General features: G+C 42.7%; 1 protein-coding gene and 1 non-coding gene across 4 annotated transcripts, besides 9 other annotated features; both read right to left on the bottom strand.

Annotated features, from left to right (window-relative positions):
- Positions 3,090-3,149: an enhancer, noted in NCBI's record as "active region_4411". NCBI's record gives its function as "activates an Ori minimal core promoter by ATAC-STARR-seq in GM12878 lymphoblastoid cells {active_cell/tissue: GM12878}" and the evidence as "EXISTENCE:reporter gene assay evidence [ECO:0000049][PMID:35858748]".
- Positions 3,260-3,339: an enhancer, noted in NCBI's record as "active region_4410". NCBI's record gives its function as "activates an Ori minimal core promoter by ATAC-STARR-seq in GM12878 lymphoblastoid cells {active_cell/tissue: GM12878}" and the evidence as "EXISTENCE:reporter gene assay evidence [ECO:0000049][PMID:35858748]".
- Positions 3,580-3,649: a silencer, noted in NCBI's record as "silent region_3133". NCBI's record gives its function as "represses an Ori minimal core promoter by ATAC-STARR-seq in GM12878 lymphoblastoid cells {active_cell/tissue: GM12878}" and the evidence as "EXISTENCE:reporter gene assay evidence [ECO:0000049][PMID:35858748]".
- Positions 3,810-3,859: a silencer, noted in NCBI's record as "silent region_3132". NCBI's record gives its function as "represses an Ori minimal core promoter by ATAC-STARR-seq in GM12878 lymphoblastoid cells {active_cell/tissue: GM12878}" and the evidence as "EXISTENCE:reporter gene assay evidence [ECO:0000049][PMID:35858748]".
- On the bottom strand, positions 10,335-26,650 carry WEE1 (WEE1 G2 checkpoint kinase). Of its 3 annotated transcripts, none has more exons than NM_003390.4 (11): positions 25,811-26,650; positions 24,227-24,432; positions 24,027-24,090; positions 23,661-23,833; positions 23,057-23,178; positions 18,642-18,788; positions 14,967-15,062; positions 14,793-14,878; positions 13,701-13,871; positions 13,464-13,609; positions 10,335-11,871 (listed from the first exon to the last, which is right to left on the bottom strand). In NM_003390.4, the coding sequence occupies exons 1-11, from the start codon at positions 26,384-26,386 to the stop codon at positions 11,718-11,720; spliced, it is 1,941 nt and encodes a 646-aa protein (NP_003381.1). In that variant the 5' UTR covers positions 26,387-26,650; the 3' UTR covers positions 10,335-11,717. The 3 variants fall into 3 exon arrangements, with proteins under 3 accessions (NP_003381.1, NP_001137448.1, XP_047283495.1); NM_001143976.2 differs by lacking the exon at positions 25,811-26,650 and adding an exon at positions 24,945-25,633; XM_047427539.1 differs by lacking the exon at positions 25,811-26,650 and adding an exon at positions 24,811-24,827.
- LOC124902827 (small nucleolar RNA U13) lies at positions 22,189-22,292 on the bottom strand. Its single transcript, XR_007063012.1, has one exon. It is a non-coding gene; the product is annotated as a small nucleolar RNA U13 (small nucleolar RNA).
- Positions 26,028-26,127: a silencer, noted in NCBI's record as "silent region_3131". NCBI's record gives its function as "represses an Ori minimal core promoter by ATAC-STARR-seq in GM12878 lymphoblastoid cells {active_cell/tissue: GM12878}" and the evidence as "EXISTENCE:reporter gene assay evidence [ECO:0000049][PMID:35858748]".
- Positions 26,418-26,627: a silencer, noted in NCBI's record as "silent region_3130". NCBI's record gives its function as "represses an Ori minimal core promoter by ATAC-STARR-seq in GM12878 lymphoblastoid cells {active_cell/tissue: GM12878}" and the evidence as "EXISTENCE:reporter gene assay evidence [ECO:0000049][PMID:35858748]".
- Positions 26,418-27,424: a biological region, named in NCBI's record as "NANOG-H3K27ac-H3K4me1 hESC enhancer GRCh37_chr11:9594443-9595295".
- Positions 26,572-27,424: an enhancer, noted in NCBI's record as "NANOG-H3K27ac-H3K4me1 hESC enhancer chr11:9594443-9595295 (GRCh37/hg19 assembly coordinates)". NCBI's record gives its function as "activates a minimal SCP1, AML or CMV promoter by ChIP-STARR-seq in primed H9 embryonic stem cells {active_cell/tissue: H9 hESC(primed)}" and the evidence as "EXISTENCE:reporter gene assay evidence [ECO:0000049][PMID:30033119]".
- Positions 26,648-26,997: a silencer, noted in NCBI's record as "silent region_3129". NCBI's record gives its function as "represses an Ori minimal core promoter by ATAC-STARR-seq in GM12878 lymphoblastoid cells {active_cell/tissue: GM12878}" and the evidence as "EXISTENCE:reporter gene assay evidence [ECO:0000049][PMID:35858748]".

The raw sequence follows: 27,709 nt of genomic DNA, 5'->3' as shown, positions 1-27,709 counted from the left end.
CACACCTGCAATCCCAGCACTTTGGGAGGCCAAGGTGGGCAGATGGCTTGAGCTCAGGACTTTGAGACCAGCCTAGACAACAATCCCGTTTCTACAAACAAACAAAAATTAGCTAAGCATGGTGACAGAAGCCTGTAGTCCCAGCTAGTTGGGAGGATGAGGTGTGAAGATGGCTTGAACCCGGGAGGTGGAGGTTGCAGTGAGCCGAGATCGTGCCACTGCACTCTAGCCTGGGCAACAGAGTGAGACTCTGTCTCAAAAAATAAAAATAAAAATTTTAAAAAAATGTTGATTGAAAAAAATGAACCAAAAAATTGAATCAGCAAAGTAAACGTAAGTGCCATTTCCCTGTATGCTCTGGTCCCTTCAGTGTCGAAGCCAGGAATCTAATTGGGAAGCATGTGGTGGAGCCAGGTCCTCTGTCTTCCCCAGCTTCAGTATTTTGCTCCATCTTTTAACGAGGAAGCTTAAGGCTGCGTGTGGTGGCTCATGCCTGTAATCCCAGCACTTTGGGAGGCCGAGGCAGGAGGATTGTTTGAGCCTAGGAGTGTGAGGCCAGCCGGGGCAACACAGCAAGACCCCATCTCTACAAAAAATTTTAAAATTAGCTAGACATAGTGGTGCATGCCTGTAGTCCTAGCTACTCTGGAGGCTGAGGCAGGAGGATAGCTTGAGCCTAGGAGTTCGAGGCTACAGTGAGCCGTGATTGTGCCACTGCACTCCAGTCTGAGTGACAGAGTGAGGCCCTATCTCCAAATAATAATAATAATAATAAAGACTGAGGAGCCTTGAAATACAACTTTTTCCCAATTTCAAATACAAATTTAAGACTCCTTATGGGTTTTTTTTTTAGATGGAGTCTCACTTTGTCACCCAGGCTGGAGTGCAGTGGTGTGATCTCGGCTCACTGCAACCTCCACCTCCTCGGTTCAAGTGATTCTCCTGCCTTTGCCTCCTGAGTAGCTGGGATTACAGGCATGCACCATCATGCCCAGCTAATTTTTGCATTTTTAGTAGAGATGGGGTTTCACCACATTGGTCAGGCTGGTCTCGAACTCCTGACCTCGTGATCCGCCCACCTTGGCCTCCCGAAGTGCTGGGATTACAGGCATGAGCCACCGTGCCTGGCCTGCCTCATGAGCTTTTATCTCCATTTTCACTCCCCAAGAATGGGTTGTTCGATACTCGTAGCAATAGTGTGTGACAAACAGGAAAAAAAACTGCACATTTTATTGTCCAAATCACCTGGCTGCATAGGTCTCTTTAATTGTTAGTGGAACTATGGGATGTCTAATCCTGTTCAATGGAAGTCAAGGTCTAGCAGTAAAATTCTTTCTGGAACTGCTGTGCCTGGTGCTTTGCACCAAGTAAGCCACTAGAAAATTAATGCTATAAGTACATATAACGAGGAAAGTGAGGCAGGCCAGGAAGAGACGCTGCGGGGTCTGCTGCTATCACATGCCATTCTTGACACAGCAGAAACCTCAACCAAGGAATGAACCTGGAGACCCTCAGATCTTTGCAATCCTCAGTCATGCTGTTAGGGAAGGAGAATCAGAGTGACATCATTTTAAAATCAATTCCATCTTTTTTTTTTTTTTTAATTGAGACAGAGTCTCACTCTGTCACCCAGAGTACAGTGGCACAATCTGGAGTGCAGTGGCACGATCTCAGCTCACTGTAACCTCTGCCTCCCGGGTTCAAGCGATTCTCCTGCCTCCTGAGTAGCTGGGATTACAGGCATATGCCACCATGCCTGGCTAATTTTTGTAGTTTTAGTAGCAATGAGGTTTCACCATGTTGGCCAGTCTGGTCTTGAACCCCTGACCTCAGGTGATCCACCCACCTTGGCCTTCCAAAATGCTGGGATTACAGGCGTGAGCCACCGTGCCTGGCCTAAACTCCATCTTAAAACTAGCCAAGGCACATTCCTTGCCACTCACGACCCATGATCACAAGCTGTTTACAGTTGAGGAAACAGCTTAAAGATACCTGCAACGACATACTCCTACAACAACTAGAAGTCCAGATGTCTCAATACCCATAACAATATATGCTTTCAAGATAATTATAATGGCCAGATGCAGTGGCTCATGCCTGTAATCCCAGCATTTTGGGAGGCCAAGGCGGGAGCATTCCTTGAGCCCAAGAGTTTGAGACTAGCCTGGGCAACATAGCGAGACCCCATCTACGAAAGTAAACAAAAATTAGCCAGGCATGGTGGTGTGCACCTGTGGTCCCAGCTACTCAGGAGGCTGAGGTGGGAGGATCACTTGAGCCCAGGAGGTGAAGGTTGCAGCGAGCTGAGATTGTGCCACTGCATTCCCAGGCTGGGTGAGAGAATGAGACCCTGTCCCCCAAAAAAAAAAAAAAAAAAAAAAACCCAAAATATAATTATAGTTATACTTTGAGGTACTTACACACTAGAATGTCAAGGACAGCTTTCTTTAAATCAACAGAATAATAAATTTTGTGATGCTGCAACCTACTCTCATGTAGACACATCTTAGCCTAGCTTTTATGTAGACAAGACCTCTATATAAGAAAAACTTAAAGATGAGGTGTTCCTCCTCTTGCCTTCTGAGGATGTTCTAGTCTGTAACAGTAGCTTTCTTTTTCTTTTGAGATGGAGGCTCGCTCTGTCACCAGGCTGGAGTACAGTGGCACAATCTCAGCTCACTTCAACCTCTGCCTCCTGGGTTCAACCAATTCTCCTGTCTCAGCCTCCCAAGTAGCTGGGACTATAGGCGCATGCCACCACGCCCGGCTAATTTTTGTATTTTTTAGTAGAAACAGGGTTTCACCATATTGGTCAGGCTGGTCTCGAACTTCTGACCTCAGATGATCCACCTGCCTCAGCCTCCCAAAGTGCTGGGATCACAGGCATGAGCCACCGCTCCCAGCCGACAGTAGCTTTCAATAAACTATCTCTTCTCACTGCACTCTGTGAACTCACTTTGAATTCCTTCCTACACAAGATCTAAGAACCCTCTCTTGGGGTCTGGATCAAGACCCATTTTTCTGGCAACAATACAGTATCTAGATGATTTAACTCATGGCTACAAGTTTAGAAAAATATGTTGCATTAGGCAAGCTCTTTTCATTTCAAGCAACTGACTCACCTTAAAATAGCTTAAGCCAAAAGAGGAATATGTATAGGCTCATAGAACCCAACCAAGATTGGCTTCAGGGACTCCGATGTTCTCAGATCTTGCCCTCCTCATTTCTCAATTCTGCTTCTGTGTTGGTTCATTCACTTCACCTGCAAATCAGCTTTTGCTATGCAGCTTGGCCTCCTTATCTTTGCCAGCAACGGGAGCATCTGCAAGGTTCCAGGAGAAACTCCATTTGGTCCAGCCCAGATCATATAGGTGCCCCTGTATTCAAGGGAGTGGTGCCCATTATTAGAAATTTGTGGGGGCAGTAGAGGATGATTATTGGACAAATCTTTGCAAGCCAGGTGACTTGCTCAATTTCTATTGACTGCATATGTTAATAACTTTTTGTTTGTTTGTTTGTTTGTGTCTGTGTGTGTGAGAGACAGGGTATTGCTCTGACATCCAGGCTGGAGTGCAGATCTTGGCTCACTGCAACTGCCGCCTCCTGGGCTCAGGTGATCCTCCCAACCTCAGCCTCCCAAGTAGCTGAGACTACAGGTGCATGCCATCACGCCTGGCTAATTTTTGTATTTTTAGTAGAGATGGGGGTTTCACTATGTTGCCCAAGCTAGTCTTGAACTCTTGAGCTCGAGTTTTTTTTTGAGATGGAGTTTCGCTCTTATTGTCCAGGCTGGAGTGCAATGGCATCATCTCAGCTCACTGCAACCTCCACCTCCAGGGTTCAAGCGATTCTCCTGCCTCAGTCTCCACAGTAGCTGGGATTACAGGCATGCACCACCATGCCCAGCTAATTTTGTATTTTGAGTAGAGACGGGGGTTTCTCCATGTTGGTCAGGCTGGTCTCAAACTCCCGACCTCAGGTGATCCGCTCACCTTGGCCTCCCAGAGTGCTGGGATTACAGGCGTAAGCCACGGCGCCCGGCCCCGGCCTCAAATATTTTTTAAAAGGAAAAAAGAGTGGGAAAGCTTCAGTAATCCCACCAGTCACGTAAATGACAGCTGTTGTTGGCCTTCATTCTTTTAATGCTTTAACAACAATCCCATGTGTACAATTTTGTTTGCTGTTTTTTTTCTTACTTTATTATAACACATAAATTTCTCTAATCATAAAAACTTCTTGAAACGCTGCTTTAAATATCTATATAGTATACTCTAAAGACTCACCCAGGCTGGAGTGCAGTGGCATATTCTCAGCTCACCGAAACCTACAGCTCCCAGGTTCAGGTGATTCTTCTGTCTCAGCCTCCCAAGTAGCTGGAATTACAGCACCTGCCACCACACCTGGCTAATTTTTGTATTTTTAGTAGAGGCGGGATTTCACCATGTTGGCCAGGCTGGCCTTGAACTCCTGACCTCAAATGATCCACCCATCTCGGCCTCCCAAAGTGCTGGGATTACAGGCGTGAGCCACCGCTCCTGGCCCTCTGAAGACTTTTAGCCACTTCATCCAGAAGGAAAGAAGGCAGCAGCAGCAGAGTGAGGAGGCATTCCTTCTATACATGTGCCTCTGTCCTCAGTCCCCTGAGGCACTTTCAGTTCCTGGGACACAATTCCAACTTCAGAGGAGAGAGCATTAAACTGGAATTCCCCTCCCCATTTCCTGCACTTCCCAAAACTTGTCTCATTCACACTTATTCTTCCTCCGCTCCAAACTCAGAGAACTTGCTACAAATTTGGCTAGTGGTTCAGCCAAACACTTTAGGTTTGAATCCTGATGCTGTAGCTTCGTATCCTGATGCTGTAGCTTTGTAATTGGGGAAACATTTTACCTCTCTTAAAAACCATTTGAAAAATGGGGATTTTGTCACAGAGTTCTTATGAGGATTAAATGTCATTATGTATGTAAAACACTTAGCACGTAGATGATAAATAATACCAAAATCAGCAAAACCCAGGCCAGGTGCAGTGGCTCGCACCTGTAATCCTAGCACTTTGGGAGGCCTAGTCGGGCAGATCACTTGAGCCCAGGAGTTTGAGACCAGCCTGGGCAACATGGCAAAACCCTGGCTCTACCAAAAATACACAAATTAGCCAGGAGTGGTAGTGCACACTTGTGTCGCCAGCTACTTGAAAGACTGAGGCAGGAAGATCATTTGAGCCTGGGAGGTCGAGCCTGTGGTGAGCCAAAATTGGGCCACTGTACTCCAGTCTGGGCTACAAAGTGAGACCCTATCTCAGCAAAACAAAACAAAACAAAACACCCCAGCAAAACCCAAAGAAGATTCCCCTCTAATTATAGCTCTCTCCTCCCTTCCCCTTCTCTTTCAGCCATGCTTCTTGCAAATGATCTGTGCTTGCTATCTCTATTTCCTCATCTCCCATTTACATCTCAACCCATTGTAATCTGGCTGTTTCCCCTGTACTGACACCGCTCACCAAATATCTTCTAATGAACTCTAGATACCTTCACAGAGCTTTGAGTCATTGTTCAATCTTTTCTGTATTAGTCACAGTTAATCAATTTCTCCTTCAAAATTCTCTTATTCTCTGTCAGATTCCATCCAGTTTTCCTAATTCTCAGCCTGCACCTTCTTACTCTCCTTTGCTGCCTGAACACTGTCTTTTAACTCAGGGGTTCTCAACCCCTGAATTAATGGCAAAACCCCCATGGTACCAGTTCGTGCCCTGTTAGGAACCGGGCCGCACAGCGGGAGGTGAGCAGCGGGCAAGCCAGAGAAGCTTCATCTGTATTTACAGCTGCTCCCGATTGCTTGCATTATCACCTGAGCTCCACCTCCCATCAGATCAGCCGTGGCATTAGATTCTCCTAGGAGCACGAACTCTACTGTGAACTGCACAAGCGAGGGCTCTAGGTTGCATGCTTCTTGTAAAAACCTAATCCGTGATGATGTGTCACTGTCTCTCATCACCCCAAGACAGGACCATCTAGTTGCAGGAAAACAAGGTCAGGGCTCCCACTGACTTACATTATGGTGAGTTGTATAATTATTTCATTACATATTATAATGTAATAATAATAGAAATAAAGTGCACAATAAATGTAATGTGCTTGAATCACCTTGAAACCATTCCCCTGCAACACCCCAACCCCAGTGAAAAAATTACCTTCCACAAAACCGGTCCCTGGTGCCCAAAAGATTGGAGATCGCCTCTTTAATTAGTATTTGTCTTCAACCTTCATATGTCTAGAAAAAGCATGATTCTTTGCTATGAGATCTGAGTTGGAATTCTGACTCTGCTACCTACTAAATTGATTTCCTAAATTATTTTACTCCCTTGAGCCTTCATACTCTCACCTGCAAAAAAGTTCCTCCTCTCCTGGATAATCATCCTAAATTGAATTGTATACCAAACCTATATTTCCAAGCTGGGTGCGGTGGCTCACACCTGTAATCCCAGCACTTTGGGAGGCTGAGGTGGGCAGATCACAAGGTCAGGAGTTCCAGACAAGCCTGGCCAACATAGTGAAACCTTGTCTCTACTAAAAATACAAAAATCAGCCGGGCATGGTGGCGGGTGCCTGTAGTCCCAGCTACTTGGGAGGCTGAGGCAGGAGAATTGCTTGAACCCAGCAGGTGGAGGTTGTGGTGAGCCAAGATTGCGCCACTGCACTGGAGCCTGGGCAACAGATCAAGACCCCGTCTCAAAAACAAAAAAACAAAATCAAGCAAAAAAACCCTGTATTTCCCATTGGCATAATGAATTAGTAAGCATAAATTGGAATTCCAGGCCTGGAAACCTATTTCATGCCACAACTATGTCAAAAATCAGAACAAGTATATGCTCTTCAAAATGTTTATTAACCATATAAAACTAAACAATGTGAACTGTGATGTAAATGTTCCTTTGAGGTATTTTTCTTCATGGGCTGGACTGGCCGAAGTTTCTTTGACTCTTAGTTTAATGAAGTTTGGACACAACATGCCATCTTTTCCTGGTGAATCTTCCTAGGGCATACATAGATATTTTTCCTTACTCCAGAGACCTTTGAATTTGCACTGAAAATTAGGGTCATCTGCCACAAAGGAAAAAAAAAGTTCAGTAATGTTCAGATGAATGCCTCTCAAAAGTTTTTGAATGCTAAATGTTGGGAGAGGGACAGTTGCAATGACGTCTTATTCTTCCATTTTTATAAAAATCTACTTTGCTGAGCTTCCGAGAAATGTCTAGCAATATTATCAGTTTGCAAGAGAAATTTCTAGATTCACTTACTCTGCAGTGTCTCTCAGTTTCAGTGATGCTTTTTACAGTTATACAAATACCTTCAAAAATACTGAATGAGGCAGTTGCCTCCAGATTCCTAGTTCCAGGCTTCACTTAAGATTTACATAATATCCAAAACACTTCCAAAATTCTTTTTTGATCTATCCTCCTTGTTGATTGCTTTAATTGGCCTTTGCAAATTTCACAAATAAAGATACCTTAAGAAAGCAACAAATTCTGTAGCAAGCCGACTCAGAAAAAAAAATGCAACAATTTATTTGCTCTGTTGGTCAAAAGTCAGTGAGATGCTTTGTAAAGATGAATTGGGGAAGAAGGAAAATTACTCTATTGTCAGGATGCTGCTGCTTAAGAACTGGGAGACAGCCTGGAGCATCCCAGGACAGTTGGCATTAAACCTAGCTCTTATGAACTTTTAAAAAAATGCCATAGTTTTTTTGTTTGTTTGTTTTTTGTTTTTTATTGAGACAGAGTTTCACTCGAGTTGCCCAGGCTGGAGTACAATGGCACGATCTCGGCTCACTGCAACCTCCCCCTCACGGGTTCAAGCAATTCTCCTGCCTCAGCCTCCCGAGTAGCTGGGATTACAGGCATGGGCCACCATGCCCAGCTAGTTTTGTATTTTTAGTAGAGACGGGGTTTCTCCATGTTGGTCAGGCTGGTCTCAAACTCCTGAACTCAGGTGATCCGCCCGCCTCGGCCTCCCAAAGTGCTGGGATTACAGGTGTGAGCCACCGTGCCCGGATTTTTTTTTTTTTTTTTTTTTTGAGAAGGAGTCTCGCTCTGTTGCCCAGGCTGGAGTGCGGTGGTGTGTTCTCAGCTCACTGCAACATCCACCTCCCGAGTTCAAGCAATTCTCTGCCTCAGCCTCCCAAGTAGCTGGAATTACAGGTATGCACCACCACGCCTGGCTAATTTTCATAGTTTTAGTAGAGATGGGGTTTTGCCATCTTGGCCAGGCTAGTCTTGAACTCCTGACCTCGTGATCCGCCCACCTTAGCCTCCCAAAGTGCTGGGATTACAGGCTCGAGCCACCGCGCCTGGCCTCAAAAAAATGCCATAGTTTCTTGACTTCCGGAACAAAGCGGAGTGAAAATCAAAGCTTGATAATGGACTCTTCAAAATACATTAGTTCATTAATTAAAGCCTACTGCTCTTGTATTCTTGGCAGGATAAAGTTAAGGCAAAAGTTTCAATTTGCAGTCAATCACAATATGTAATACCTCCTACCCAACCGCATAGTCAACATTTAAAATTTTTCTACCTTACCAAAGTCAGCTTTCCAAAAAAGAAAACTTTTATCGATGGCGAATACCTGTCTCAAATAGTAACATACCCCTGCATTTTAGTTAAGTTTTCTGGAAAAATCTTCAATGCTTCAATCTTACCAACAAACAGAAACTGTTCAAAGTTTCAAACTGTTCAAAGAAAATCCCTATCCTCTTATTTTCTATCCACAGCAAGGTCCTAGTTCAGGCCCTCCTTTCTTGTACGGTGATTATTATACAATAATCTTGAAACTAGTCTGAACATAATTCCCTGGATCTATTCTCCAATCTACCACCAGTATCTTCATAAGGTACATATAGTCTTTTGAACCTTCATTCTACCTTGCACAATCCCTCCAGCATTAGCATTTATTACATTTTATTGTCATTATATATTTACAAAAGTCTCCTCTATTTTATCCTGATTTCCTAGTGGGCAAAACCAAATTCTTACTGGTCTTTGGTCTACTACATAGTCAGCACATAGCACTCAACAAAAGTACCTTTAGTTAAATGAGTCTAACTCTCCTATCAGCTTTTAGATGGCCTAAGAATTCCCTCTTCAAACACCAGATATCAGTTTTCCTTCTTAATCCAATATTCTTATGTGAAAATTTTACTGCAAATATTGATGAAAAACACCTGAGTGTGTCTTTGAAGCTAGTGCACTGGAAAAATGCACCTTAGTGACTTAAAATGATCATAAATTAACACCATTATATATATATATATATACATACATACTTTTTTTTTTTTTTTAAGAGACAGGCTCTTACTCTGTAACCCAGGCTGGAATGCAATGGCGGCATCGTAGGTTACTGGGATTATCGGTGCAAGCCACAGCACCCAGCCCAATTATTGTGATCTTTTTATAGCTTTGTCATCAGTAGCTACTAAAAGGTGTGAGTTGCATGCTCCAGTTCCTATGGCTTTTTAGGTTTTATCACCCATACTCACCGGCTTTTATATCTAATTCTCCTGTCTGCACCAATTCATCTCACACCTCTAAATTTTAAGATACCATAGACTAGAAAGCTAATATAATCAAGTTTGTTAGAAATATTTATGGCAGAGGTTGGACATGATTACACACACTCATAGTCCCAGTTACTCCAGAGGCAAGAGGATCTCTTGGGCTCAGGGGCTCAAGACCAGCCTAAGCAACAATGAGACTCCATCTCTGGTTCTAATCAACATCAGAAAACGATGCCATAGAAATAACATTATCACTTCAATTTGCACTCAATTCTTTTTTGTTTTTTGTAGAGATAGGGTCTCACTGTGTTGCCCAGGTTGGTCTCAAACTCCTGGCCCCAAGCAATCCTCCTGCCTTGGCCTCCCAAAGTGGTGGGGATTACAGGCGTGAGCCAAGACGCCTGGCCTCAAATCTTAAAACCCAGCCTAGTTTAGTGAGAATTAAAATCCTCCCCACTTTAAGGGCCAGGCGCCTGTAATCCCAGCACTTTGGGAGGCCAAGGCAGGCAGATCACCTGAGGTCAGGAGTTCGAGACCAGCCTGGCCAACTTAGTGAAACCCCGTCTCTACTAAAAATACAAAAAATTAGCTGGGTGTGGTGGTGCATGCCTGCAGTCCCAGCTACACAGGAGGCTGAGGCAGGAGAATCGCTTGATCCCAGGGGGCGGAGGTTGCATTGAGCCGAGATCGCGCCACTGTACTCCAGCCTGGGTAACAGAGCAAGACTCCATCTTAAAAACAAAAACAAAACCTCCCCACTTTAAAGTTTTCTGTGACTCAGTACAAATCAGAAAGTTATGAATCATATTATATTCACTTAATAATTTGAAGATATTTTAAATTACATCATGCTACATTTCTAGCAAGTCACATGCATAACATGCAATGTGATATTCATATTCAATCAAAATGTGCCCTCTGCTTTTATAATAGTACATTATACACACTATACATTTTATAGTATAGCAATAATAGAGATAAAATATTAGAAAACAGGCATCACAAGGATTTAGACAATTAAGGTAAGCTCAGAGTGACTTTTAATATGCCAATCAATGTTAATAAAACACAAGTCAAAGACAAGTGCAAACATGTTTTAGACCAAAATTAATGAGAAAACAAACAGACAATTTTTTTCAACATCTGTTAGCCAGTATTATTAGTCAAATGGCTAATCACAGATAAAATATATTTTGTGAAAAACTTGGAATGTCAGAAGTCATTCTGGCATTTCAAACAGCTATGTACAGTATCACGAAGATCGGTTTATATACACAAATATTGAAGAGAAAAACCGGGCAAAACATTTAAAAACAGACTAATAATACAATCAAGTATAAAACTTAGGGGGAGACATTTAAAAAGAGTCCGGGAAGGACATTACCAGAACAAGTTACAAAACCAGTAATTATTATACTACATTAATACAGCATTCCAAAGGAGGGAAAGGGTGCATTTTTCCAATGCACTAGCTTCAAAGTTCAAAGGAAAAAAAAAAAAAGGCAAATAGCTGCTTTTCATCAAAAGCAGCTATACATTTCACATAATTGTTTCAAAAAGAAGACCTATTAACAACAATGATTGTTTAATGCTACAAGTTTACAGCAAAGACAAAACTAAAATAGCAGCAAATTCACAAGGCAATACCTCCACAGAATCATCATCCCATGGTTCATGCAATGCCTACAAAGTGCTCCCAGTGGGATATACAAGTCTAATTCACAATTAAAAAAAAAAGAAATATAAGATGGACACACAGGTACATTGAAGGCTGAGTAGTAATGAGTCTTTTAGCATGTCCCTTTTCAAAGGGAGGGTATGTCTGTAATAAAGCCCTTGAGTACTTTTTACAGGTCACTACAGGGAAAGACACCTTTTATTACAATGCAACAGCAAACTATAAGCAGCACACCACCACAGTGGTTAACCCTGGAAAGGCTGGTGTAACATCCAACAGTGACACATCCTACAGAAGACAGACTGGTAAGATTAGATGAAAGCCTGACATAGCAATCATCAAAATACAGCTTTCAACTGTAATTCACAATAAAAGTCCTAATCAGTAAAACTACTGACACCAATCGAGAAAGTAATTGCAAACTGGATTCTATCAGTGATTTCAACCTAGCTTCCTCTTGTCACAGTGTTCAGGGGGAGGTGGGAAAGGAGTAGCTCAGTATATAGTAAGGCTGACAGAGCGGTTCATTTTCTTTCCAATAAGTCGAGATGTTCTATTACTCTGGGTGGTGGACCTAGTGGCCATCCGGTCAGTGAAGAGTGCTCTTTCCTCAGCTGCAGCTTTTGCCATCTGTGCTTTCTTGAGTTCTCTGACATAAAAATAGAAAACAAGGTATTATTCCTAGGAAGAGATTCTAAGAAACTAACACAAACTATATTGTCGATTGGGAGATATTTGCATGCCATCATTATTCTAAGATGTAATTGAAAAATAAAACAGGAAACTGAAGCTTCTATTAAAACAACTTAAATTTATGAAATTATTTTATTTTATGCTTTTTGAATTACAGTATCACACATACTTGAAAACAAGTAGTAAAGATGCTAGTAATGACTTTGGTTCTTATAAAATAATTTGAGCTGGATGTGGTGACTCACACCTGTAGTCTCAGCTACTCGGGAAGCTGAGGCTGGAGGATCGCTTGGGCCCAGGAGTTTGAGGCTGCAGTGAGCTATGATAGTGCCACTGCACTCCAGCCTGGGTGACAGAGCAAGACCCCATCTTTTTAAATAAATAATAATAAACAATTTCCAGACAAACCTATCCCCAATAAAAAAAAAATTAAAAATAAATAATAATTTCAAAAACTCCAATTTATATTGCGAATCTATCCTTACATAAGAGAGATGAAAGGAACACTTTATTTCCTATTTGTATGAACTATGATGGATATCAAACTAGTGGCAAGTAAACCTCTTAATATACAATTCTTATAATTTAAATATTAAATGTTAATATTAATTGTTAACATAACCTTTTCAAGTCAGTTTTATTAGGTTAAAAGCAAAATGGCTGCAATAAATCAAAAGAATTAGAAATGTGATCTGTGGTAACTTAATATTCTCCAATATTCTCTTTTTAATAACCTTTACCATTGCAACCAGCTTTTTGAAAATATCAAGTCATTAAGTCCAATATGAGAATCTTCATTCAGTATATAAAGATTTAGCCAGAAATTAAAAACATATATATGAGAATCATCTCCTAACCAAATTGACATTAATTTCATCCTTTCATAAAATAAGAACAGAATGTTTCAAGGACAACGTTAACTTTTGGTGAGAGTCTGGGAAGAAAAGATTGGTATAGGCTCGCTTAGCTTTTACTACCATTTATGGCTTGGGGACTATCACCACTTGCAAATATATGTTAGTCTCAACATTTTTAAAGTTCGTAATTTGAAAGTTTAGAAACAACACAAATTTAATAGGCCAAATACTAATTCATGGCAGAAGTCCCCAAGCTTTCACCGTATAACAACATATCGAACTACTGGAGCCGGGTGAGGTGGCTCACTCCTATAATCCCAGCACTTTGGGAGGCCAAGACAGGTGGATGGTTTGAGCCCAGGAGTTCAAGACCAGCCTGGGCAACATGGCAAAAACCCCATCTCTACAAAAAATATAAAAATTAGCTGGGTGTTGTGGCATGCATCTGTGGCTCAGCTACTCAGGAGGCTGACACGGGAGGATAGCTTGAGCCCAGGAGGTGGAGGTTGCAATGAGTCATGATAGCACCAGTGCACTCCAGCCTGATGACAGTGAGACCCTGTCTCAAAAAACAAAAAACACAAAAAACCACTACATCCTTTGTTGACAGAAAGCTTAAATCATCTCTCATTAAAATTTGAGAATTAAAGTGAATGAAAAAGCAAAAAGAAAACATAAAACCCTCACTTACTTTTGTAAAAGTGAATTTTTGAACTTTTCGGCATTCAATTCTATTCGTAATTGTTCTGCACTCTTTCTAGAAGCGGACAGCAATACTGAATGCTTTACCAGTGCCATTGCTGAAGGTCTTCTCTCTGGATCTGGATGAATCATAACCTTAAAAAGAAAAGTAAAATGAAGGTAAAGACATGCATTTAATAAAATATAGAACCATGTCAATAAAGGGCTTCATATATAAAATGCTCACTTTTAGCAACTCTGTAAATTCTTGGGAAAGCACTTGTGGTATCCGAGGTAATCTACCCTGTCTGATTTCATGCCATTGATCTCCATTTCTCGGAAGAGGTTCAGCACCAGCAGCACATACCACTGTGAGGGCAAGCGCAAAAATATCTGCTTTTGGTAGATGGGTATAATTCTGTAAAATTAAAACAATTTTTTAAAGGAATGTAAACATGGTCAAAATAAAACAAGATTACACCTCAAAGATGACTTAGGTGAAAAATAGGACTTAATCAAAGTGTCTAATACCACATTTAAGTTTGGGACCTATTCAGAGAATAAACTGCTAAATTTGAGGATGTTTATTTTTTAAATTACAAAGTAATACACACTCTTGGGGGAAAAATGCAAACACATAGATAAGAGTAAATGCCTCTTCTTTATCAACAGCCCAATTCAACTCTCAAAAGAAATCCCTCTACCTCTAGGCATTCATATGCAAACACAAAACACGTAGAAACACACTGACAAGTTACAAATACACATATACGTGATAAAGCAAACATATATATACACATATTTACAAAGAGCAATGGGATCAGACAATTACACTTTATATTTTTCTACTTATTCTATTTTCATTCAAAATTTTTATCAAGAAATACTGTCACACTCTTTTGAAACTATAGGCCATACTAATAACTATGTGCCATAATTTACTTAATCATTCTCTTATTAGTAAACACTTATTTACACTGTTCTCAACTTGTATTTGTATATGAATAGTTCTATAGGAAAAACTCCTAGAAGTGAAAATTATGAGTCAATGGGTACATGATTTTTAAATATTAATGCAATACTAATACTCTGATCTCCAAAAAGGATATGCCATTATAAAGTTCCACCAGTGGTGTATGAGAACATATTTTTTACGACAACTCCATTATAAATCTTTGCCTTCATGACTTTTTGCTTATTAAATGCCCTCAGATGACGGTTTAGATTTTATTTCCATTCTATTAGTTAACTTCAAAGTTTAATATATCTGAATTTATATTCTTCTATCAACTGCTAAGTGTTACAAAGCAAACTATGATTAAGGGAGAAGAAAAATTACCTCCTGTAAAACTTCATTTGCAAGAAAACGACTATCGCCCTCTTCAACTTGTGGACTGGAGATCCTTGTTACATGCCCAAGATCACCTAGAAGTATTGAAAAACTTACAGTGAAGAGCAAAAACAAAACAGCCTTCTCTTTATCTGAAGGTAATAATCTGATTACCTTTCTTACCTATTTTAAACATAACTTTGTTGGATGCCCAATCATCTTCGTCTCCTTCTTCAGAGGCAGCATTTGGGATTGAGGTTCGAGATATGAAAATATTACCTGTCAAACAGTTAATTATGTAAGCCAAACTAATAATAATAAAACCAGAGTTCATAAACAAGATCATATACCAGAATCATCCATAATGCTTTTTAAAATGCCGATTCTCAAGTTCTAGCCCAAACCCATGGAATAAGCATCTCAGGGGACAGAAACCAGGGTTATAGTTGCTGGGAATTTTTTTTGTTTTTTTTTGAGACAGTGTGCTCTGTCACCCAAGCTGGAGTGCAGTGGCATGATCTTGGCTCACTGCAACAAGGTTCAAGCAATTCTCATGCTTCATTCAACCTCCTGAGTAGCTGGGACTACAGGCACATGCCACATCTAGCTAACTTTTATATTTTTAGTAGAGACGGGGTTTCACTATGTTGGCCAGGCTGATCAAACTCCTGGCCTCAAGTGATCCTCCAGCTTCAGCCTCCCAAAGTGCTGGGATTACAGGCATGAGCCACCACTCTGGGCCTCTGGGAATATATTTTCCAGCCTAGCACTGATCCTAAACACTTTAAACTGGATGAGGCCCTTGTCTTCTAGCACATTACCCTTCAGCAAAAAAGGTAGTATCAGTAATTTGTGAAATTCTGTGAAAGCACAAGTTTTAATGTAGCGCTATAAGGCTGGTGTGAGCAGAATGAGTCATTTAGCCAGTGAGTCTGGCTGACCATATAGCATCTACCTTGCAATATGGCTTTGTGATTCACTATTTCCTATTGTATACACATTACCTTTTTTCTTCAAATTCAGGTAAGATCATAATTAACATGAGCTTTTAGTGGCAGATTCTATTTTAATAGTTTTATCAGTATAGTATTGGCCAGGTATGGTGGCTCAAGCCTGTAATCCCAGTGCTTTGAAAGGCTGAGGTAGGAGGATTACCTAAGACTTGGAATTCGAGACCAGCCTGGGCAAGATAGTGAGACCCTGTCTCTACAAAAAGAAAAAGAAAAAAATTAAAATAGCTGGGAATGGTGGTGCATGCCTGTAGTCCCAGCTACTTGTGAGTCTGAGGCAGGAGGTTCATTTGAGCCCAGGAATTCAAAGCTGCAGTGAGCTATAATTGCACCACTGCATTCTAGCCTGGGCAACAGAGTGAGACTATCTCTAAAAAATAAGGCCGGGAGTGGTGGCTCACACCTGTAATCCCAGCACTTTGGGAGGCCAAGGTGGGCGGATCACTTGAGGTCAGAAGTTCAAGACCAGCATGGCCAGCATGACAAAACCCCATCTCTACTAAAAATACAAAAATTAACTAGGCATGGTGGTGCACGCCTGTAATACCAGCCACTAGGGAGGCTGAGGCAGGAGAATCGCTTGAACCCAGGAGGCAGAGGTTGCAGTGAGCCGAGATCGCACTACTGCACTCCAGCCTGGGCAACAGAGCAAGACCCTGTCTCAAAAGAAAAAAAAAAGTATATATATATATATATATATATATATATATATATATATATATATGTGTGTGTGTGTGTGTGTGTGTGTGTGTGTGTGTGTGTGTGCGCGCGCGTGCACGCACACACACGCACAAATATTTAGTATTAAATTTATGTTACATTTACTGGAGTCATCTATACGTTTTACTTTCTTTATAGGACAACTTATTTTGTGATGGTATTTGTAAATTGGAAGGTTTTTTTTTTTTTTTTTTGAGACAGTCTCGCTCTGTCGCCCAGGCTGGAGTGCAGTGGTGCGATCTCAGCTCACTTCAACTTCCTCCTCCCGGGTTCAAGCAATTCTCCTGCCTCAGCCTCCAGAGTAGCTGGGACTACAGGTGCCTGCCACCACACCCAGCTAATTTTTTGTATTTTAGTAGAGACGAGGTTTCACCGTGTTGTCCAGGCTGGTGGTGAACTCCCAAGCTTAGGCAATCCACCCGCCTCAGCCTCCCAAAGTGCTGGGATTACAGGCGTGAGGCACCACGCCCGGCGAATTTTTTTTTTCTTTTTTTGAGACGGAGTCTCACTTTGTTGCCTAGGATGGAGTGCAATGGTGCAATCTCGGCTCACTGCAACCTCCGCCTCCCGGGTTCAAGCAATTCTTCTGCCTCAGCCTCCCGAGTAACTAGGACTATAGGTGCGCACCACTACACCTGGCTAATTTTTGTAATTTTAGTAGAGACGGGGTTTCATCATATTGGCCAGGCTGGTCTCGAACTCCTGCCTCGTGATCTGCCTGCCTTGGCCTGCCAGAGTGCTGGGATTACAGGCGTCAGCCACTGCACCTGGTCTAAATTTGAAGATTTTTAAACTTCACATCCCTTAATATTTTCAACTTTTATACCTTATAAGGGTCTATTATATTTGTCTAACACTTTATATGAGTACAGCTATTCCTTAAGAATTCACATTTACTGCCTTAAATCCAAATATATTTTTGTCTTTTGAAAATAAAAAACATGCTGGGCACGGTGGCTTACGCCTGTAATCTCAGCACTTTGGGAGGCCATGGTGGGCAGATCACAAGGTCAATAGTTCAAGACCAGCTTAGCCAACATGGTGAAACCCGTCTCTACTAAAAATACAAAAAATTAGCCGGGCATGGTGGTGTATGCCTGTAATCCCAGCTACTCGGGAGGCGGAGGCAGGAGAATCGCTTGAACGTGGGAGGCAGAGGTTACAGAGAGCTGAGACTGTGCCACTGCACTCCAGCCTGGGCAACAGAGCGAGACTCCATCTCAAAAAAAGAAAAAAAGAAAGAAGAAACTTTAGTGACTTGTTAACATACGCATATGAAATTCTAGCATATAACTCATAAAGTTGTACAAAATGACTGAAATTCTCACAAATCAACAGGTTTCCAAAGATTAATAAAACCTCACTAAATTCATCTAGCCTAAGATGCTTAACTTGAATCCATAATCCTTAGTTATAACTTCCAATTTATAGGAAATATAGGAGAAAAAGGAACAAGCTAAATGATACAAGAAGCAACTAGTCAAATCCAGAAAAAGGGATAGCTTGCAAGATAAGTGTATATTATTTTTACAAAGCAGAGGATGGGTTCTGAAAAAGAAAAACTGATATAACCAGATGCAATGCATGATCCTTAAGTAGATACTAATTTGAACAAATCAACTATTAAGGACTTGAGTCAACTGGGGAAATTTTAATATGGTCTGGCCTAGTGGAAGAGTGGGGCTTTAAACACAGATTTTTAGTGCCCTCATTAGTATCCCACCTGTAGTTCCTGTAAGATGCAGCAAAAATTTCTGGCTTTTAATAAAAATGAATTTATCTGGGCATGGTGGCACATGCCTATAGTCCCGGCTACTCGGAAGACTGAGGTGGGATGACTGCTTGAGCACGGGATGGGGAAGTTGCAGTGAGCGGAGATGGTGCCACTGCATTCCGGCCTGGGCCACAGAATGAGACACTGTCTCAAAAAAGTTTATCTCAAATTTTGGGGATTAACAAGGGAAGAGATGAATAGAAATCATAAAACAATATTGGTAAGTGGATCTAAGGCCTTTTAAAACTAACAATGAGAAAACAGAAGATATATATTTTTTCAATGTTGTCATAATGAAGTAATTTATTCTCTATAACCCCAAAGAACACAGGTCAGAAGATCTGCAATACTTACTAGGTTTTATATCCATGTGAACCAAAGACATTGAATGAATATACCTCAAGCCTCGGCCAACTTGCAAAAGGAGATCCTTCAACTCTGCTTCTTTAAAGTAACTCATGATTCTGTAGTTTTCACTTATAGCATCAGCTAAACTTCCACCTAACAAAGATAGAAAATATTAGCATTTTCTTCTTTCTGAAATATTTTCTTTCTTCCATCTTTACCAAATGAGTCTCAACCAACCAATCTCAACCAAGAAAGTGTTATTTTATAGGACCTTCTCCCTTCAACCTGCTTGTGAAATCAAAATTTTATTGTTTTTTCAATAGGTAATACATTTGCATGGGTACAAAATAAAATGTAAAGTCTCTCTCTCAATCATACACCTCAGCAATCCACCTGTTTCTTTCTCAGAGTAAACCAGTATTATCAGGTTGGCTTTTTTTTTGTTTGTTTTTGTTTTTAATTTATAAGAGACAGGGTCTATCTATGTTGCCCAGCTGGAATCCAGTGGCTATTCACAGGCTTGATCCCACTACTTATCAGCATAGGAGTTTTGACTTGTGCTGTTTCCAACTTAGGCCAGTTTACCCCTCTTTAGGCAACCTGGTGGTGCCCCACTCCACAGAGGTCACCATACTGATGCTCAACTTAGATCGGCATAGATCGGCATAGATGCTCAACATAGATCGGCACTACAGCCTAGAATTCCCAAACCCAAATTCAAATTCCCTGCTTCAGACTCCCAAGCAGCTGGGACTACAGGCACTGCCACCACGCCCAGCTCAGGTCTATGTATTCTTTTCAACTTTTTGCATAAATAACAGCATATGTTCATTATCTTAAAGATCACTCTATACCAATATACAAAGACAACCCATTTCTTCTTGTCTTTATAGAATTCCATTGTATAATTGAGTAGAAATGCATTTATTGGCTGGGCACAGTGGCTCACGCCTGTAATCCCAGCACTATGGGAGGCCGAGGCAGGTAGATCACGAGGTCAGGAGTTCGAGACCATGCAGGCCAACATGGCGAAACCCCGTTTCTACTAAAAATACAAAAATTAGCTGGGTGTGGTGGCGTGCACCTGTAATCCCAGCTACTCAGAAGGCAGGAGAATTGCTTGAACCTGGGAGGCGGAGGTTGCAGTGAGCCGATATCGGGCCATTGCACTCCAGCCTGGTGGCAGAGTGAGACTCAGTCCCCCGAAAAAAAAAAAAAAAAAGAAAGAAAGAAAGAAATGCATTTATCAGTCCCTCATTTGATGGACATTTTAAAATTATTTCCAAGCCTTTGCTATTACATACTATGGCCTAATAAATAACCTTGTACATTGGTAATTTCACGTACATTTAGTATATCACCTAGAAGCCAAATTGCTGGGTTAAAGGGTATGCACATTTGTAATATATGGAGATGGTGTGTTTTACACACACACACACACACACACACACACTCTTCTCCACAGAGAAGGCTGTACCAATATATATGCCCATTGTCAATGCATGAGCATACCTGTTTCCCCATACCCTTGACAAGTCTATAAATGTTATAGGTAAAAAGACAGTATTTTAGTATAGTTATAATTTATACTACTCTTACTATGAATGAGACCATAACCTGCTTTTATAGAATTAGTTAAATCAATCAGTTAATTTGTTTATATTTTTTCAAACTTTTAAAGTTTGTATTTCATCTCAAAGGCAATGAGGAATTGTTTTAAATATCTCCTGTTTAAGGCTTAGGAATAAAAAAATCAGAGCTGGGTACTAAAATTAGGAAGGTCAATGATGTATTAGTCAGAAAAGGAGGTCCTATAATTTAAATAAGAAAATAACATAACGTCAAATGTGTTTTTAAAATAAATTATACATCTCGGTATCTTAGTCTTAAGTATGTTCTCCTTACTTGTACAAATCTTGAACTGAGGGAGGGGAAAGAGTGCTCTAGAAGGGAGCAAACCAATAACGCTGTCAGACAAGATAGGCTAAGTCCTAGATCAAATGTGCTAAGAAAGAATATGGCTAATTCTCTTTTTTAGCAGGTCCAGCAACCATAGCTGTGCCCATTTCTTCTCTTATTGCTAGAAGGGCAAGAAAGGTGATGAGAGCAAAACAGGTTCTGACATTTCAGGTTCTCTTTCCCTATCCATCAATATTTTTCTACACTTGTTTATACAGGTTAATTCCAATCTATCACCAAACCAAGATAAAAGGCTTATAATGCAAATGAATAAGATAATAAGGAAATTAAATCACAATAAAGGGAATCAGTTACTCATGTACAAATAAATATCAGAATCCTTTTCCAGTGAAACTGTGGAAAAGATGTGAAGATGAGCCCTATTGGTATATTCAAAGCTTTATGTGGAGAGAGGAACGGTGGACACAGGAAACAAAAGAGATCACAAATGCATCCAGATAGTCGTATTTTCTTTTATCTAAGTAGGACAAATAGCCACACAAAGAGGCAGTCCTGTTTCATGCAGGACTATTTATTTTCTTCAAGAGTTTTATATTGCTTTAAGAGGCCGAGGCAGGTGGATCACGAGGTCAGGGTTCAAGACCAGCCTGGCCAACATGGTGAAACCCCATCTCTACTAAAAATACAAAAATTAGCTGGGAGTGGTGGCGCGCATCTGTAATCCCAGCTACTCAAAAGGCTGAGGCAGGAGAATCGCTTGAACCCTGGAGGCAAAGGTTGCAGTGAGCAGAGATTGCGCCACTGCACTCCAGCCTGGGCGACAGAGCAAGGCTCTGTCTCAAAAATAAATAAATAAATAAATAAATAAATAAATAAATAAATAAAAACTTATTTTCAATAGATTATTTTATAATCTAACATTACAGGACAAGGTTTTTGTAATCTGAGAGGGTAGCAAGACTACTCACTCAGTTCCCTATCTCCCAGGCCCACGTGAGTTTTCTCAGAATCATCTGATTTACACAACCATGTATTGGTAGGTTGCTACATATTTGACATTCCTGGACTACTAATGAACTATTCTGTTAAGAGAATTATTCACATCAAGAAGGTGAGAAAGAGAAAGAAGGAAACTGAAAAGAGATGGTGTCTAACAAATATCAAATGGAGACGACATTGTGGTCAAGTTGTTCTAGGTTAAATGCAATACCTGAAAAATGAAGGTTAAGAAATAGAATAATCCATAAGGTTGTGATAGTTACATAAATATTTTGATGGTATGAATAGAAACATTTCAAGAGCTGTGTGAAAAAAACTAGCAGCAAGGCTGTATACTAGACACTCAAGTTCTTTCAAGTGTGGAGAACTTTATTAAATAATGAGGAATCAGGTTTGAAAAATGGATCTTTTACTTCTGTTTTGTTCACTGTTTTTAAATATGGGGAACCTGAATCCATACCTACACCACTTATTTATTTACAAGTTATGAGATAACTGGTCTTGTTTATTTAAGGAATAATAAGAATCAACAAAAATAAATTTTGTTATCTCCTCTCAAGTGTTCACTAAACTCTAAATTGTCTATATTCACAGAAGATATACAGAAATAGAAACAAACTACAGATATTTTTCATTTCAGACTGGTAATGTGCTGATGTCGTAACAAGGTTTGAGGGAGGCACATTTCACACTTGAGTATGAAAACCCAATCATCACACTTATAAACTACAAAAGTGTTGAGAAATAATCCATAAAAGATTTGGTATATAATAATGACAGACGTCCATAAGAACCAGAATTCTGACCAAGACTTTGGTAAAGGTTTTTAATAGAAAAGGAGAGACATAAGTCGGCCCTTGAAGGACTTACCGAAACTGAAAGCTATACAAGACATCCAAACTTGAATCTATACATGCCTGTTTTGTTTCATCCTTAGGGGAGAGGAGGGAGAGACGACAAGCTAGAGAACTAAAAGAATGTAACATAATAAAGCGTTAGTGGATTCTAGGGTAGACTAGGTTGGATACGTGGGAGTAGGGCCGGACTACAGAATGCTTAAAGAAACAGCTGAATTTAGATCAACAGAGACTCAGTGACTAACAAACATCAGTTTTAGCAGCACCTCACATGAAATGGAAATCAAAGACCAGACACAGGAAGAATCTATTCAACTTAACACTTCATAATACTATATGCTTCACACACTACGCTAGGTACTACGGACACCAAAATATATGTGTCGAGGCCATAGTCTTGTCAAAAAGCTCAGTTGGAGCGACAAGCACATAAATAGTATGCGAAGTTCTACTACTGAGATATGTACAAGGTGCTTCAGAAAGGACAAGGTTTTTAACCTTGTACTTGAAATTTATGTTAGGTCTCTGATCTTTAAATTTATAAAAGATAAAAGTGACAGAAATAGAGCAAGATTTTAGATAACCATAAATATTTCCTCGATGTTCATTTTCTCAAGCTCACAAGAAAACCATTACATCACTCACCATTACAATATTCATTCTGTATAAGCATATGATCATCTTCTGCCCACGCAGAGAAATATCGAACTACATGAGAATGCTGTCCAAGCACTGCATGAGCATATACTTCTCTCAAAGCGTTCTGCCTAGAAGAAATTTGAGATTAATAGAATGGTAAATAATTTTCACTCAAGCTTAAACTGAATTAATTTATCTGAAACTTCATACAATAAATTTTTGGTATCTATTGTTATGCTAAAAAGCAACTTGCTTAAGAGAGAAGGGGTTTAGACTTGTAAGAGATTTTTCCAAAGGCAGATTCCATTAAAGATTTATCAGAAAGAAGAAATGTTGCTTGCCCTAGGACTCAGGTAAGAATAAACTCCATTTTACTGTGAATTCATGGATGCTGACTAGAAATAAGAAATTTAAGTTAGGTTCCAAAATCAGACTCATATTATTCAACAAGTCCAATAAGAACTGATGGTATTAAGTGAAAAGGACCTGATTAAATCATTACAGCTTCTCAAAAGTTAGAGATGGAATTCAGTGTTTGACCAGCTGAAACCTTAATGTTAGTAACACCATAGGGGACAAAAGAGCAAAAGACAAAATGTTTAATACATACTCATCAACAGAGCCCGCCAATGGCTTTTTTGATCGCTTAATGGCATAAATGCATCCATCCAGCCTCTTCACACACTTAAATACAGAACCAAATTCTCCAGAGCCGATTTTCTCTAGCTCATGAAATTCTGTTGTATACCGGGACTTCATATTGCTTTCAGTAATTGTAATTCTCTGTAATAAAAAGTGTTTCCATATATGTAATACAAATATACGAAAACAGTTATTTCTTGCTATGGTGATAGGGCTATGTGTGAAATTTAAAAACCATTCTACCTTATGTGTTAATGCTTATTAACATATTCATAGCATGCTTTAAGTGGCAGAAAAGTAAATTTCAAAAAAATAAAAATAAAAAGCTATTTACCTTAGCAGGTCTTGTTTCATCTTCAAGCTCATAATCACTGGCTTCCATGTCTTCACCACAGGAACTAAAAAAAATGTTATTTTTCTATCAATATATCTGACAGATACATCCATGCCATTAAATAGGAACTAAATTTTGATAAGTATACCAAACCAATCTTAGGTTATTTGGAGAACCAAACTGTTAAATAAACGACTTACTCATTCCAATACGTTCTCTTTCTACGACGACACTGTCCTGAGGAATGAAGCAACAAAGAATCCGGAGTAAAAGGATTAATATTCACTTGAGGAGTCTGTCGCACATCAAATTCCCTTTTTCCTGATTTTTCTGTATCCATGAAGAGAGAACTACCCCGGAGTTTAACAGAGCTGGAATCAATTCCCCGAGCTTTGGAGAGCAAACTCTAGGGAAAGAAAAATACAAATACAATTTTTAGGATCCAAGTCCTATAGTCAGCCTTCTCAACCTAACCTTCAACGAGCCTTTCATAGGGCTGAATGCGTAGGTGAAAGCAACACACAAGCCTTTGTTAGAGTTCAAGCAAAATAAATTGTGGCTAATTTAGGAAGACTGAAGCTGGATATTAACTATCTTTTCTTGAAAAAAATAGCCAAGTAAAATCTGCCTCTAACCCTAAAAAGAATATAAATGCTGCCTAAAACTAAGTTCATTCTAGTGGCTAAAAGTTAACAAATTCTTTCAACCCATCCAAAAATAGAAAGCAGTCCGAGAGCCCCATAAAATCTCCCCTCCCCCATCTAGATAGGGCTTCCATAGCCACCTCCGCTGGACTCCTCCCCTCACTTCCAGAGGGATTTTGCCTTGAGCAAGTCGGCCAATAAACAGTACAGCTCGAAAGCACACAGATTGCCTAGGCTGATGACAAACAGTACATTGAAAACAAAACAAACTCACTTTAAAAGGTGCATCTTCCCTGTTAACCTTACAAATGCGAGGCTTGTCTTAATCTCTGGAAGTATCAGCTTTAAAATCTGCAGTTTTAAAAGTGGTCATCTGCGCAGTACTCGAAGGCCTTTCAAAACACAGGTGCTGAACACCTCCTTCTTTAAGATACCTTATCTACGGTAGGATGTTCCTAATCACACGGAGGCCGGCCAAACTCTGGGCACCGCAAACCCACGATAAAAACAAATGCTGGGCCAAGACCTTGTCCAGAAACAGGCCTCAGTACTGCCTGGACTTAGGATGAGTCTGTAGGACTGTAAATGCTTGGAAGGCCAGCCTTTACTCCCAAGTCCAAGCGTAGTCTCCCTGCATGCCCCAGACCTTTCCCCCATCCACGCCACACGACACGACACGATCAGGGCGGGACAATTATTTTTCTTTAAACTCCTTCTGCCCGCGCCGCCCAAATTACAGGCCCGATCGCCGCGTTTAAAAGGCATCCTATGGCTCGGGAGTGTCAGGTGGCCGGGCCGGCACCCTCCAGCATCCTCGCGAACCGCGTTATCGGTGCCGCACTCGGGGCTGACACGCTCGGGGCGGCCCGGACTCAACGGGCGGCAAATCCTTGGCCACCCGGACGGGCCGATCGGCCCCTTTGTAAGATGAAGTTCCAGACGAGGCCCATTGTTCAGTTACATAATCTCAACGGACAACCTCGGGGCAGGGCCAAACACAAGGGCTGCCAACTTTGGGGGGCGGCGCAGGAAAGCGAGGGGGGAGCGGCCGGCCGCTTCTGTAACCGAACCCAGGCAGCGGCGCTGGCCCCTCCGGCGCCGCGGCCCCGGCCGCCGGGTGCCCGCGCCCGCCGCTCTCACCTTGGGCGTGTGCGGGGTGTCGAAGAGTCGCAGCTTGCGGAAGGTCTTGTGTGGCGGGGTGCCCGGGTGGTCCGGCCGCGGCGAGCGGCGGCCTTCGCCCGCCCGGCGCGCCCCGCAACCCCGCGGCGACGCATCTCCTGGGCCGCCGCAGCGCACCGGCGAGAAAGAGCTACCCAGGAAGTAGGGGGCCGCCGGCGACTTGACCGGCGACGAGGAGCCGAAGCCCTCCTCCTCCCACGAGTCGCCCTCCGCCCCACCGCCCGCCTCGTCCGCGCCCGGGCAGGCGCCGGGCAGCAACAGGTCCTCCTCCAGCTCGCCGGGGCTGCCGGGGGCCGGCCCGGGCGAGCGGCGGCGCTCGGGCCCGGGCTCCGTGGGGCTCCGCGCGGGCGGCAGCGGCGAGTCGGGCTCTTGAAAGGCCGAGTCCTCCCCGGTGCTGTGGCCGCTGCCCTCCTCCTCCTCCTCTTCTTCCTCCTCCTCACAGTCGCTGCAGGGCGAGAAGATCAGCTTCTGCCGCAAGGTGCAGGCCGCCCCGGCGCGGCGGGGTGGCGGCGGCTGCTGTCGGCTCAGGAAGCTCATCGCGGCCCTGGGGACGGGGCCGAGGACAGGAGAGCGGAGGCCTGCGGGGTCCAGGACACTGCGGGCCTGGGGGCGGGTCCGCCACGTGCGGCTGGGCGCGCCTAGTCGCAGCCGCGGCGTCTCTGCGCGGCGGCGGCCTGCGGCTCCGGGGCGCTCGGGCTGCGGACGGTGGCGGCAGCGGCGGCGCGGACTTTCCGGCAGAGGCGGGGCGGCCCGAGCACCGAGGCTGAGGTCTCCTCAGGTCCAGTCTCAGGTTCGGGCTCCGCGGCTTCCCGCGACCGTTAACCACGTGAGTGCCCAGTCCACCAATCCCAGTGCAGCTCCGGGTTTGAAAAAAAAAGGAGGGCGCGACGTAGCCCGCGGGGGAAGGACCAGCTACGCGATTTTGGCGGGAACCCGCTGGCTCCACCCCCGGCTCGGCGCCAGCCAAGTCTGGGCGGGCTGTGGTGTTCCGGGCCTATGAGCGAGCCTGGGGCGGCGGGGGGCCCGGCCCGGCGCCGCCCGAACACCGCCCGGACGGGGCTGGGCCTTCTGGGAGGGGCAAAAGAGAGCTGGATTCGCCTAAGCCGACCCGAAAGCCGGCCTGGACGCACCCCCCTCGCTGCTCCTCCGGTGCTGGGGGATCTGAAGAGGGGCAGGCGGCCGGGCAGCGCCTCCGGGTCTCTGCGAGCTGGGAAGAGCCAGGGACCGAATGGCCTTCGGCCGCTGCCCTCGGAGGCCGCTTCTTGCCCCTCGTCCCCTGGGGCGAGCCACTGGGGCGTAGTGGGCGTGGCAGTGGGCAGCCACGTTCAGGGTCGAGGTCTGAGCCGGAAATGGTGACTCGGGCCTCGGGACCTTTCTGAACTGCGGGAGCCGATGTGCTTAGGCTGGACACTGGCTGGGAGGAGGCCTCCGAGCCCCATTATTTCCCCGGGGTGGGTGACTGTTAGGGGCGGGTGTCAGCACAGCGAGAAGAGCTCTCCCAAGCAGGGGTCCACCTCTGCCGACCTTGTCCGCGGCCAAAAGAAACAGCAGCACAGTTGCCCACCACGAAACCAAGTGCCCGGCACACGATCTCCGTGTTTACATTTGTTCGCCAGCACGTGGGCATGCGTTGGCAAAACCGATTGGCCCGGCTCGCGGCAAACTCAAACGCAATTTTAAAAAATTTCCCTAGTGCTTCGTTAAACTGATTTAATCTGTCCCTTAATGCACTTACACGTTTCTTCCAGTTTTCTTTTTTCTTTCTTTGTTTATTTATTTTTTTTTTTTTTTCTGAGACGGGGTCTTGCTCTGTCACCCAGGCTGGAGTGCAGTGGCACGATCTCGGCTCACTACAACCTG

This window comes from Homo sapiens, chromosome 11 (genome assembly GCF_000001405.40).
Source record: "Homo sapiens chromosome 11, GRCh38.p14 Primary Assembly".
NCBI classification, from domain to species: domain Eukaryota; kingdom Metazoa; phylum Chordata; class Mammalia; order Primates; family Hominidae; genus Homo; species Homo sapiens.
The sequence above is the reverse complement of the archived record's forward strand: the minus strand, read 5'-3'. Positions and strand labels throughout refer to the sequence as shown.